General features: G+C 50.1%; 1 protein-coding gene and 1 pseudogene across 15 annotated transcripts in view, besides 1 other annotated feature; one reads left to right on the top strand and one right to left on the bottom strand.

Annotated features, from left to right (window-relative positions):
* Window positions 1–12,812, top strand: part of TRAPPC9 (trafficking protein particle complex subunit 9) — a 730,855-nt gene that overhangs the window by 408,658 nt on the left and 309,385 nt on the right. The gene's annotated exons all lie outside the window — the stretch shown is intronic.
* Window positions 1,645–1,870: a silencer, noted in NCBI's record as "fragment chr8:141058150-141058375 (GRCh37/hg19 assembly coordinates)". NCBI's record gives its function as "represses an EF-1alpha promoter that drives an FKBP-Casp9 reporter gene in an ReSE screen in HepG2 liver carcinoma cells {active_cell/tissue: HepG2}" and the evidence as "EXISTENCE:reporter gene assay evidence [ECO:0000049][PMID:32094911]".
* Window positions 9,649–10,164, bottom strand: LOC100421256 (glyceraldehyde-3-phosphate dehydrogenase pseudogene; annotated as a pseudogene).

The raw sequence follows: 12,812 nt of genomic DNA, 5'->3' as shown, positions 1-12,812 counted from the left end.
TTGGGGACTGAGTTGTGGTGGAATTGAAGGAGCCTTTCCCACTTGATCTTGGACAAGTTTTCTGATCCCTACAATGAGGAATAAAGCTCGCACCTCACAGAATGATCTTGAGGACTCGGCGGGAGACCTTCCACAAAACCTCACACAGTGCCTGCCCTGTGGGATACAGACGCTCAGGAAGGCTGCTCAGAGATCCGCTTTCATTTCCAGCCTCAAGGAAATCCCAGGGTTTGGTGTTTGGACAGGGGGTCCCTGTGACCTTCCCCTTTCAGCTGTATATGAGTTTCAAAGACCGACGAGCAAATGGGAGGGATACATAACCTTCTATTCACTTCCCTGGTTGCCAGGGAAATAATTTGGTGGTCTCGGGGGGGGGAGCCCTGTAGGATTTATCTTCATGCTTGATGAGAGGTGGGCAGAACACATCACCGAGGGCCGGCTCTTCCCGCAGTGTCCACAGTGTGCCTTCCGCAGGTCCCTAGTGAAGGAACAGGAGCCCGGGTACAATAGCAGGAACCTTGGAGCTCTCCCCTTCCTCTGGCAAAGAGTAAGCCTGGGTTGCAGCTTATTGATTTTCCACTTCGGCCCGGAAGGGAGCATTTATATTTTTAAGTCAGATGGCATGACTCTCCTTGCCAAAAGTTTTAGGAGCCTCATGCCATAGGACCAACTCTGGGCCCGCAGGCCCCAGCATGGGCTTTTGTTCTGGCCCTGCCCTCAGTAGGTCCTGCGAACGTGGGGGTTTACTTTACCTGTATGAGTTTCTGTTTCCATATCTATATAGCAAGAGAGTCCCCTAGCTATGAGATGAAAGGGATGGGGCCAGTTCCGTCATCGCGGGGAATCAGATGTTGCTGTGGGCCTCTGGTGTGCTGTGTGCCTTGGGTTTGGTCTGTAACCACCCCTGCAGGCCCGCCTTCCTTCCGCCTCAGCTTCTCGTGTTTCCTTTTGGTAAACATTTCTGGAATTTCTGCTGTGTTCCGGGCACCGAGGGTATAAAGATTAATGACACCTGATTCCTGCCTTCGACTAGAGGGGTGGTACTGACGAACTGGTTGGAGCTGGGAGTAGGGGAGCAGGGGATGGGTGACAGGAAGCAAGTAAGAGCAGCCCTGGGCCTGCTATTCATGCGGGAGAGGGGGTCCTGGGCTCACGGGTGCCCTCCCTTCACGCTGGACCCCGCACCTCCACTAGCTTTGTGACTTTGGGTGAGTCACTTCAGCTCCCTAAACCTCAGTCTCCCACTCTGGGAAGAGCATTGAGACTTGAGAGTTAGAATTTGTGTTTGGGGCTTCAGTTAGATGAAAACCCTGTCCCTCCGCACCCAAGCTATAGCTCCTGGCCTTTCTGAGCCTTGCTCTGCTTGTCTGTTCCATGGAGCTCTTGGTCTCCACTTCATGGATGGCTGCAAGGATTACATGAGCCTAAACTCGCTCTCATGATCCTGGCCTGGCACCTGGCATAGGGCTATTGTCCAGAAATGTTGCCCTCACCCCGACTTTCCTACTCTTCCTCCCAAGAGGTGGGCCCTTAAAGAGTTAGTATTTGTTTCTTCCAGAGCTTCCAGTAAGATTGTCTTTATGCCATCTGAGTGTTACCCTGTACAAGGTGGAGTCATTGTCATCATTGTCATTATCCTGTTTATGACAATTGATTGGACACGTTGCATATGCCAGGCACTGTCCTTACAACAGCCTTGTGAAGCCACAGTGGTTGGCTGCCTCATCTTCTAGACAAGGAGATAGGCATGCTCAGGGACCCACAGCTGTTAGTGCAGAGCTGGCATGGACAAGCCAATTGTGTCCATCTCCAAAGATGGCATTTCCAGGAGGGGACTTTAGAGAGTCTGCCTATCAGAGGGGCTTCTGGCCAGCCCAGCTTCTGCTGGGCCATTTGTGAAGATGCAGCTGGCCCAGCCAGTGCTGCACATGCGTCCTTGTTTGAGCTCTGGCTGGGGCCTGTGGCTATGGCTGGACCCTGCCTTGCTGGCAGCTTGTGGCCTGGCCCCTGGTGGCCCTTTGTCTCCTGACCTCGCCCTCCACTTCTGCCCCGACCTCTGCTGGGTCATGGAAAGTGGTGTGTGCACTGGAGTCTGGTTGGAGTCTGATCTGGCTTTCTGCTAAGGGTGGTGGTAGAGCCAGCCAGCCCGGGCTCATGTCCCATGTCTGCTGTAAAGAATGCTCCAGCACACCGGAACTCGGGGCTGGCACCCAGCCCCTCAGCACCAACTGGGTGTTGTTGTTGCTGTTGTTCTCCATGTTGTCCTTCAGCAGAGGCTGTGGCTGTGTCTGCTCTCACACAGCCTGCAGAGAAGCAGGCAGAGCTGAGCAGCGGCCGCTGGGCCCAGCCAGCCCACTCTTGTCCCCTTCTTCATGCGCGATGTGTTTTCTTCCCTATATCCCGAGGCAGTCACTCGTTTTCTTCTCCATTCTCTCAGCCTCTCCTCTGGCCCCTGGGGACCCGCCTTTCACCCTGTGGGCTGCCATGCCTGGCTCTCCGGTGCCAGCGGGGCCTCCGCAGAGAACGACTTCCATACCCTTCGCATTCGGGCTCTTAGCGCAACCCGGACTATTCTTAGCATACCGAAATGCGAGCTGTCCCCCGTGCACTGCAGGTGGATTGACTGAGCTTCTGCATGCGTGTTTCTGAAAGGGGCCTCCGCCGAGGAGCATGTGTTTTGTGCGTGCGCGTGTGTGATGTGGAAGGAGGCACAGCCCGGGCGGGTGACCATCCGCCCTGGAGTCTGAGGAGCTATATTTAGCTCCTCCAACATGCCTGCTGTGAGGCTGTGCCGGGAGAGGCTGGCGGGGCCCAGGCAGGGTTGGGCTAGAATCTCTGGGGAGCTGCAGGCCTCCCTTCCAGGACACCTCACAGACAGCTGGTCACAGAAGAGCTTCCACAGAAAGGAACAAGAGCAGTTTATTGTAGGTGCCACGGGAACCTTTCTAGGCTTTTTCTGTACACGTTTCTATTTCTCAGAACAGGCCTACAGAATAAGGAATATCTGTCCCATTTTACAGATGAAGAAAAGTTGAGTTCCAGAGAGTGAAATAATGTGCCCAGGTTGGTTGCTTGTGGAGCTAAGATATGAACCCAGATCTTAGTTTACATCTTAGGATGAAGGGCCAATTACTAACATTTATAATTTAGGGCAATTATAAAATATGGGGCAATTCTAATTTAGAAAAGGGGTATGGGGCATTGAAGAATAAATTCTGGGTCCTTTTCTTCATGCTGTATTATTTAGAAAGTGCAAGATGACTGCACTTTCTTGGATGTAGCAGGGCTCATGTCCACCAAAGCACAAAGCCTGTAAGATAGGCATCCAAGAATGCTCTGGGAACCATTTTCTGGAGGAGAAACATTGCAGAAGTCTTCCCAGGCTGTGGACAGCAGGGGCTCCTTTTGGAACCTCCTACCTTCTAGCCAGCGTGACAGAAGCTGCTGGAGACAGGGAGGAAGGCGCAAGGAAAGGGAGGGAGTCGGCGGCTGTGGGGAGTCTGGGGCGAAGGCCCCTTGGCCTGCCCGCCCTGTCCATCCAGCTCTCTTTCCTGCTATAAAGCCTGAGCTGTAGCCACACTGGGCTCCTTGCCTTTCCTTGCCAAGAAGGCATTGTTGCCCTGTCTCACAGAGGAGAGAAAAGGTTTCATAGCCGTCGGCGAAGACCTGGGACAACACACGGAGCATCCAACTTCCTGGGAAGAGCTCTATTGCACCGTGGACCGTGCCAAGCACCACCGGAGAGCGGCAAGACCGCTCAGCACAGTGCTAGTGCAAGGCGGGGGACGCCAGTCTCCTTGGGCAAGACCCCTCAGCTCTTATCCAGGTGTTCCTCAGGGAGAAGGGTGGCTTGCTGTGTCACAGGAGTCCCATCCTCCCATCTAGATCCAGTCCCACATTAAAAAAAGAGTCTCCAGATTCCTTTTTCTTCTGGTTAAAATCCCACCATTCTTTTGAGAGGACAGCTGATTTATGGAAAGCCAGTGCTGCTAGAATATTAACTAACTTCAAACTGTAGTCTTGGTGATAACTGCTTTTCGTTTTTCTTAGTTACATAAAATGGTATTGACTCAGAACCACCATTTGGTGAAAGGATGAATAAGGGAATGTAATTGATCTGGGACTCTGCCACCTCGAGGCTGAGCTGGGCGTGTCCTCCTTGGACACTGTGGGTTTCATCTCCCCAGAAGACCTGAGCAGCCACCGTCATCTTCCTTAGGATGTATAGTGTTCTCCAAGCAGAAGCAAAGGACCTGACTTGGTTTTTTTTTTTTTTTTTTTTTTTTTTTTCTGCCGAGATGGAGTCTTGCTCTGTCTCCCAGGCTGGAGTGCAGTGGCGCGATCTCAGGTCGCTACAACCTCCGCCTCCCAGATTCAAGTGATTCTCCTGCCTCACCTTCCCGAGTAGCTGGGACTACAGGTGCGTGCCGCCACACCCAGCTAATTTTTGTGTTTTTAATAGAGTTGGGGTTTACACCATGTTGGCCAGGATGGTCTCTAACTCCTGACCTCAGGTGATCCACCCGCCTCGGTCTCCCAAAGTGCTGGGATTACAGGCATGAGCCACCGCACCTGGCCGGACTTGGGTTTGTTAAACCCAAGGTCCTTGTGCTCATTTAATGCTCACAGCCCGCAGCAGGCAGATGTGCCACCATCCTCGCTTCGTGTACGCAAGGAAGCTGAAGCGCAGAGGGTCAGGTTGTTTGCCCAGGTCTCAGAGCCGGTGGAATAGCAATACTGGACTGGTGTCTGACCTTGGGCCTTCAGACTCCTCACCTCCTTCTCCTTTTCCTCTCCATCTCTGCTGGAGATGGGGTAACCAGAGGCAAGGACTCAGGAAGTCAAATGCCTTGGTGGTGACTTGGCTCTGGTTTTGGAGGTAAAGTTCTATGCCTTCATTCTGCATCTTATTTTGTTTTCAATCTTGGCGATTCCTTGTAATAACTTATTGACTCTTCACCAATCCTAGTTTACCTTTGGCTTAATTTTTCCAGCTGACGTAGACTATATTACTGCGTGTAAGTTATATCAGTTAGCTATTCTTAGTCTTTAGAGTGAATGCATCTTAGGTGAGGGTAATTAGAAATGCGTATTTAGCACACAAGGGAAAATTTTCTCTTTTGCAGCTGTGCATTAGGAAAAATAAAGAGCATCTGCGGGACTATAAGGTTTCCATTTATAATAGGGACTTATTCTCCCCGAGGCGAGAAGCTGTAATCTTCTGAAAGCCCTGCGTATCAGTGCCGAAGGTGTTGCTTTCGTCATTTATGTATTCCGTCCGTAGCATTTACCCACCTCCTCCACTGGGCAGCTTGCCAGGCTCTGTGCTGTGCCCTGGGGGCACTGTCATGCCCTGAAGAAATGCTCATGGGTGGGGCCTGATAAACAGGTTATAATGCCAATTTTTACAGTGGTGTCATGGCTGTCTGTTAGCATGGTCTTCAAAGTTGGGCACGTATGGAACCAAATTCTGCCACTGAAGCTGTGGGATTTGTTGGGCAAGTTGCACATCCAAGCCACGGTTTCTTTACCGGCCCATGAGTGGTTGTAGGGGAACAGTGGCCAGAGGTGATTGATATCTTGGGATTGAGTGCCTAAGTAGGATGTCATATCCTAGCCCACTGTGATTTTTCTTTTTTTTTTTTTTTGGTCGTTGTTGTTCTGTTGCTTCTGGACCAGCACAGTGTCTGGAACAGGGGGGCACCCAGTGAATGTTTGTCCAGTAGTTGAGGGGTGTGGCTTTTTGTTGGACTGCTGTGAAGCAGAAGAAAGAGGGGATGGCACTGGGGTCAGCCTTGGCTTGACCGTCTACCTTGGCACGTCTTCAGGGCGACTACCAAGGTTTGAAGGCGCCTGGCTGACACCCTGCTGGCACAATGATCTGAGTTTAGAACAACTGCCAGGTACGGCAGGAATGGGGCGGTCTGCTTACCTGCAGGCTGTGGCTGGAGTCTGACCTGGCTGTAGGCAGGCCTCATGGTAGAATTCCTTGTACCCAGGCAGTCATGGGCAGGCCACACCCATGGGGCAGGCTGGGAGGGCCACTGGAGGGGAGAGGGAAGGACTGGGGCCCACGTCACCATGCTTTCCCCATCTCACTAATTAGGGAACTTGCCTGTATCGCCCCATTTCCATTGCAGTGGTTCTGAAAGTGTGGTCCCTGGACCAGCAGCTTCAGGAAGCTGGGCTCTTCTTAGAAATGCACATTCTTGGGCCCCTCTCTAACCTGTAAATCAGAAACACTGGTGTTGGCCCAGCGATCTAGGTGTTCAAGCAAGCTCCCCTGGTGACCCTGCTGTAGGCTGGAGGGCAGAGCTGCTCCTTCAGATGTGCTGTGAATGGATCTCAAGAGTTATGACACTGACCCATCAGGCCTCAGGATGGTCGGCTGGGGTTCGGGGTAGCCAGGGTGAAGGGACTATGCTGGGGAAACCCTTCCCATGGAAGCAGGAAGAATGGAGAACAAGGTTTATCACTGAAGGTGAGGTCTGGGACATGTTACTTCATGCTCTTTAAGCCTCATTTTCCTCACCTGGAGAATGGGAATAATGGGCTTTTTTTCTGTAGGATGGCTTTGAGGCTTTAGCCACAAGATGATTAAACAAAACTGAATTTAGTGTACAAGAGATGTTTGTTAAGAGGTAGCTTCCTTTCTTTACCCTCTTTTCCAATTGGCCTATGTAAGATATTCTGGAAACTATAAAAAGTGGAAGAGCTTATAGACTGGAAGAAGAAATTCTAGATGCTGGATTCAGCCTTTCTTACTGCACATAGAAGCCAACAGAGGGTTTAGAGCAGCGTTCCTCACCAAGTCCTAGCTCCTTAACTTTCATCAGGCAGGGAGAGTGGGGGACAGCTGATGTCCATGGAAGAGACAGGACCGGTGGGCCCTGACTCTTGTTCTGCCAGTCGAGCTGAAAAACAGTTTGGTAGGGAAGTTATTACATTGGCTCCCGTGTGAAGACAAAGGGACTGAGTCCCTCAGATGGGAGCCGTTCACCTAGGGCTGCCCAGAGCGAAGGAGCCCGGAGGCACAACTGCTGGCTCAGCAGACAGAATGTTTCTGTTTTCTGTGTAAATAAGGAGGTTTGCTGGCATGAGAAAGAAGCAAAGGCCACAGACTAGAAGAGTCGTTGAATAACTGCGAAGATCAGCAGAAGGAAATTGACTCAGGAGCAGCCCGGTGCTGGGAAGGCAGAGATGTGTTAGGTGGGGGCTCTGCCACCTTTGCTTTGCTCTGGCATCTGCAGAGGGCGTGGGCCCAGGCGGTCCCGGACACTCCACAGGGCCGTGGAGAGCAAGCGTAGGTGAAGGAGGTCAGCTAGGCTCCCTAAAGACCAGGTGTCCTGGGGTAAACTCTGGGACCTTGGCCAAGTCCCAGTTATCTCAGCTGAAAAAGTGGGGAACTAATATCCATGCCTTGGTCTTTCTCAGGAAGATCAGGACTCTTCTATAAAAAGCAGCCGGAACCATCCTTGGAGCATGCGTGTGTTCCGCAAGGTGGCTGCCTCCTTTACACATTTTGAATGATTGTTTTAAAGTCAAAGACTCTGGAAGACTTGATTTGTTAGTATTTTCCCCAACGTTTTATTTTGAAATATCTCGAACATGAAGTTGAAAAAATTGTATACTGATCATCTATACCCATTTTCTTTTTTCTCTACTTTCTCTCTCTGTATATGTTTGTACACACACACACACACACACACACACACATACACTTTTTTGGGCTAAGTTGCAGACTTTATATTATTTCTCTCCTTAAATAATTTTTGCATGCCTCCTAAGAAGGATACTTTCCTAAATAACCATTGTCACACCCATGACCTTCGACATTAGTACAATAGTGTTATGTCATAAACGTTCCATATTCAAACTGTCCCAATTGTCCTGAATATTGATTTGTTGTGCTTCTTTCATTGATAAGAAGCTATAATAGATTTTTTTTTTTTTGAGACAATCTTGCTCTGTTGCCCAGGCTGGAGTACAGTGGTGCGATCTCAGCTCACTGCAACCTCCACCCCTGGGTTCAAGCAATTCTCCTGCCTCAGCCTCCTGAATAGCTGGGATTATAGGTACACGCCACCACACCCAGCTAATTTTTGTATTTTTAGTAGAGATGAGGTTTTACCATGTTGGCCAGGCTGGTCTTGAACTCCTGACCTCAAGTGATCTGCCCGCCTTGGCCTCCCAAAATGCTGGGATTACAGGCATGAGCCACTGCGCTTGGCCCAGAAGCTGGAATTAGATTAGACTTAGATGCCATGTTGAGGCCCAGGATGGTGTGACCGCCATGAGGGCGAGCAAGTCACGAGCGTTCTCCCCATCCCCTGCAGAAGGGGTTGGGTGATGGGCAGGGCTAGGGTGGAACACAGGCCTTGGCCTTGAGTTCAGGGCCATGGTCTGTTGGCTGTTGGACCTTGGGCTTCCCAGTTGAAAAACAAAGTTACTGACTTGATTCTTAGCCTCTGTTTAATTCTCACTTTCTGTGGAAAAAATCATTTAATCTTTGATGTTGGGAGGGAGTACTTGCAAAGTCTCTTAGTTTACCTTGCTGTGCAGGTGTACGCTGTTTGAACACCTGTACTGATAGCTCATTGTTTCACAGGGCTCTAATCATTTGGACACTTTACTATATATGTGTATATTTTTTCCCTGCCAGGTACAGTATGTTGATGGTATTGATTATACATGATTCTCCTAATCTCCCTTCTTCATGGGTCCAGGGATGGAAACTGTCAGAGAGAGGAGATTCAGAGTGTCTTGCGGGTAGGGCTGGGTCAGGGAGCTCTAGTAGCTGAGGGCTTGTTTTTCTCTTCTGCTATTGCAAGAGATGTTGGGCCTGGTCATTCTTGGAGGTCACAGGGACCATGAGGTCCACCATTCATACCTGGATATTACCTTGACAAAGTAGTTGTCGAAGGTAAATGCCAGCGCCAGCATCAAATGTTTCCACCTTTCCGTGGACACCTCTGTTGAATGTTTCCACCTTTCTGTGGACACCTCTGTTGAACGTTTCCACCTTTCCATGGTCATCTCTTGACTGTTTCCCCCTTTTCATGGACATCTTGATTGCAGTTGACTTGGGCCTCCCCGTGGCTCAGGACACCTTCCAAGGAGTCCTTTAGTTACTGCATCACCACCTTCTTGAGGTCATGATAATTGGCTTCCTCTAGACACTAGGTCATATCCCTGAATGATGTGTGTTGGGATGGTGACATAGAAAGCTTGCCAGTGTGCGGCCGAGCGTGGTGGCTTACGCCTGTAATCCCAGCACTTTGGGAGGCCGAGATGGGCGGATCACGAGGTCAGGAGATCAAGACCATCCTGGCTAACACAGTGAAACCCTGTCTGTACTGAAAATACAAAAAAATTAGCGGGTGCCTGTAGTCCCAGCTACTCGGGAGGCTGAGCCAGGAGAATGGCGTGAACCTGGGAGGTGGAGCTTGCAGTGAGCCGAGATCGCGCCACTGCACTCCAGCCTGGGCGACTGAGTGAGACTCCGTCTAAAATAGGAGCACTGAGCGTGCTCCTATTAAGCTCAGAGATGACCTTGCCACTTGACCACTGACCTTGGCAGTGTCCATGGATGTTGGATTATGTTGTGAGCAAGGCCATCACACTTCACTTTGTTAGAGGGGCAGGCTCCTGGGACGTAGTGTTGGTGTGCGCTGTGGTCATGAGTACCTCCACTAGGCCATGATTGTTGTGGATAGTCTTGGCTGGGGGGCTTGGGTGGTAAGTAGTTGGTGGTGGGCTGGGCACTGCTGACAGTCTCGAGGGAGTTTTCACGCTTCTCATGATATACATGTGTCTATCAGCAGTGGTTCCCTTCAGGAGAGTCTCAAATTTCTTAAGGGAGTTGTAGACTCCTCCACATAGTCAGTATTAGAATTGCTCCATTTGATCTTGATGGGGTCTTGCTCCTGGGAGAGGGATATGGGTTTTCCCTTGATCACAAACCTCCTGTGTGCAGCCCTGGTCATCCCTTTAGAGTTGTGGACTCATACTAGAACATGCTCACCATGTAATTGTTCAGTGAAGAGATCAATGAAAAGGGCAATGGAGAGATCATGACTGGCCACTGACAAGTTGTCCAGGGTTGAAAGTAGCCCTGGTGATTAGGTGCCTCATACAGCCCAAGCCACATACTCTGACCGGCACCATCAGTTCTTAGGGATATCGCTAGCACCATAGCAGGAAGGCAGCTACCTAGTGAGCAGAGTGGGCTGGAGAGCTTCCAGCTGCACCTTCCACAGACATTCATACATCAAGTTTTTTATCAAAACACTGAAGTAAAAATCGAAGAAGAAAAAGTCAAGTGTACTCCATGGCTTAATGACTAGAACACAGGTTTTGAATTTAAATACAGCTGGCATTTAAACTATTTATTTGTTGTGCACATTAAATCATTCAGTGTTTAAGTTTTCTTACCTATAAAAAGTGGGTAATAATTATATGTTTTTTAAAATCACACAATCCAGGGAGGCGCTGAGTATACTGGAAAATCCTCCCACTGTTTATCTGGTATATTTACAGCTCCCAAACGTAAACCTGGCTCCTAACTCCAATCTCATTAACAAGAAAGTGTCCTCTGTGAATCAAGCCTTTCTTATTCTTGTAGCTCTCTTGGGTGAAGCCATAATTGCATCTCTACCATTTGAGTAAATGAACTTCACGTTTATAGTCCTGGTTAATAGGGCACGTGGCCCCATGCCTATCAGACAGGCCGTGGACAGTAAAAGTGGATTTGATGGTGCTTCCAGACTCTGAGGCTAGAATGCTATTAGCACTGCAATGAAGGTACAGTAGCGTAGGGCTAATGATATCAAAGATGGACTGGTTACCACAGATTTAACACCGGATGGGATCTTGTAGATCACTGCACATTGACCTGAGGCTTTGACCCTGCAGGTTTGTGCCCCTTCTCGCTCCGCTCCTTCCCCAGCTCTGTGCTGAGCTCCCTGTGAGTTCCAGGTACGAGGGTGTGAGGATGAAATGCTGGGTGTTCTGTCTCTGGGGACACAGTCTAGCAGAGATACAGAGCCATCTGAGGCTGTGGCTTGCATCCTATGGAGGCTCCGAGGAGGGCCTCTGATTGCGCCCTGCAGACGGGAACCATCTAAGCACGTGGATTAGACAGACTTGGCAGATATTGGCACATCTGGTTTCCTGTCGAGACCTCTGTGCTCAGCTGCCTCTCTCCCTTCGTGGGGTTTTTGCTTTGACCTTACCCTGGCCGCCGTCATGCCTGACACTGGGTGTTGTTGCATCAGGAGAGGCCGCCTCCCTCTGGATCAGTTACTGTGTGCTCTGCTTCCGTCTCGCCACTTGATCGCCATCTAGACAGCAGTGTGCGTGGAGCCAGGGCCACTCATCCATCCACACACACCTTGTGTCAATGCGTTGTTCGCTGCAGGTATTTTCCAGATGTGCTGTTGGTGACCTGTGATGCACAGGACATAGCCTATTTGTTCCCCACAATACTGTCATTTCCACCCTCTAGAGTGAGGGGCCTGGTCCTTCTCATCGTCCTGACTTGAAGGCCAGCTTTGGATGCAGCCTCAGGGGTGTCAGGCCACGTTGCAGGTGCTGGAGGCCCGTGTGGCCCTGCCCGTGGAGCACGGGTGAGCAGAGGTGAACAAGGGGATGCAGGAACCAGCACCTGTGGAATCCTTGCCCTGGGCCAGGCACTGCGGCGAATCAGCTTCTCATTCAATTCTCACAGCAGTCCTGTGCCATCCTTTTTATTCTCCGTTCCTCACATGATGAAAATACACTTTGGTGGGATGGAGACATGGAGGAGATGTCTGATGACACAGAGGCCAGAGAGGTTGTGTCTAAACTGAGGGCAGGGAGTACCAGAGAGAGTTTCTTAGTCTTCTGGAATAAGGACTAGGAATGTCCTAGTTGGAGAGAGTGGGTAAGGACATTCATTTCAGGCACACAGGTGTGAAACAATACAGCTTTCAGCAACTTTCCTACCATGCAGCACGAGGGAAGCTCTGGGGTGTGTGTGTGTGTGTGTGTGTGTGTGTGTGTTGGAGGTGTGTGTTGGGTATGTGTGTATCTGTGTGTGTGTTGGTGTGTGTTGGGTATGTGTGTATCTGTGTGTGTGTTGGGTGTGCGTGTGGTGTGCATGTCTGTGTGTGTTTTGGGTGTGTGTGTGGGGTGTGTGTGTGTGGGGTGTGTATTGGGTGTGTGGTGTATGTGTGTCTGTGTACGTGTGTGGGATGTGTGTGTGTGTATTGGGTATGTGTGTATATGTGTATGGTGTGTGTTTTGTGTGTGTGTATGTGTCTGTATATGTGTGTGGCATTTGTGTGTGTGTGTGTATGTGTGTGTGTGGTATGTGTTTGACCTGAGACAGGAGGAGCAGTAGGGGTCCGATGTGGAAGGGCTGGGAGCGGCTATGCTGAGGTCTGAACTGTAGCTGGGCAATTGGGGCCAGTGATGGTTTATCTGAAGAACAGATGTGGAAATTTGTTTCTTTATTCTTGGCTCTACTTATGAATTCATTTGTTCCAAGTATCTTATCTTCCTTTCTCACTGTTGAATACTGATTTAGTAATAATAATATTAGCTGGTACTTACAGCACTCTTTCCAAACGCCAGGCACTGTTCTCGGTGTTTTGTAAGACTAGCTGGTTTTGTCTTCCTGATAACCCAGATGTGAAAGCTGCTGCCTGAAGAGATCAGATCACTCGCTCAGGGGCCTGGGCAGGAAATGACGATGGGGTCTGAGCCCGGGCAGCCTGCTTTCACAGTGGGTGCTATTAACTATTTTATTCTTTGCTGCTTAAGATGCATTT

The sequence above is a fragment of the Homo sapiens genome, chromosome 8 (assembly GCF_000001405.40).
Source record: "Homo sapiens chromosome 8, GRCh38.p14 Primary Assembly".
NCBI classification, from domain to species: domain Eukaryota; kingdom Metazoa; phylum Chordata; class Mammalia; order Primates; family Hominidae; genus Homo; species Homo sapiens.
This window is presented reverse-complemented; position numbering and strand designations above follow the sequence as displayed.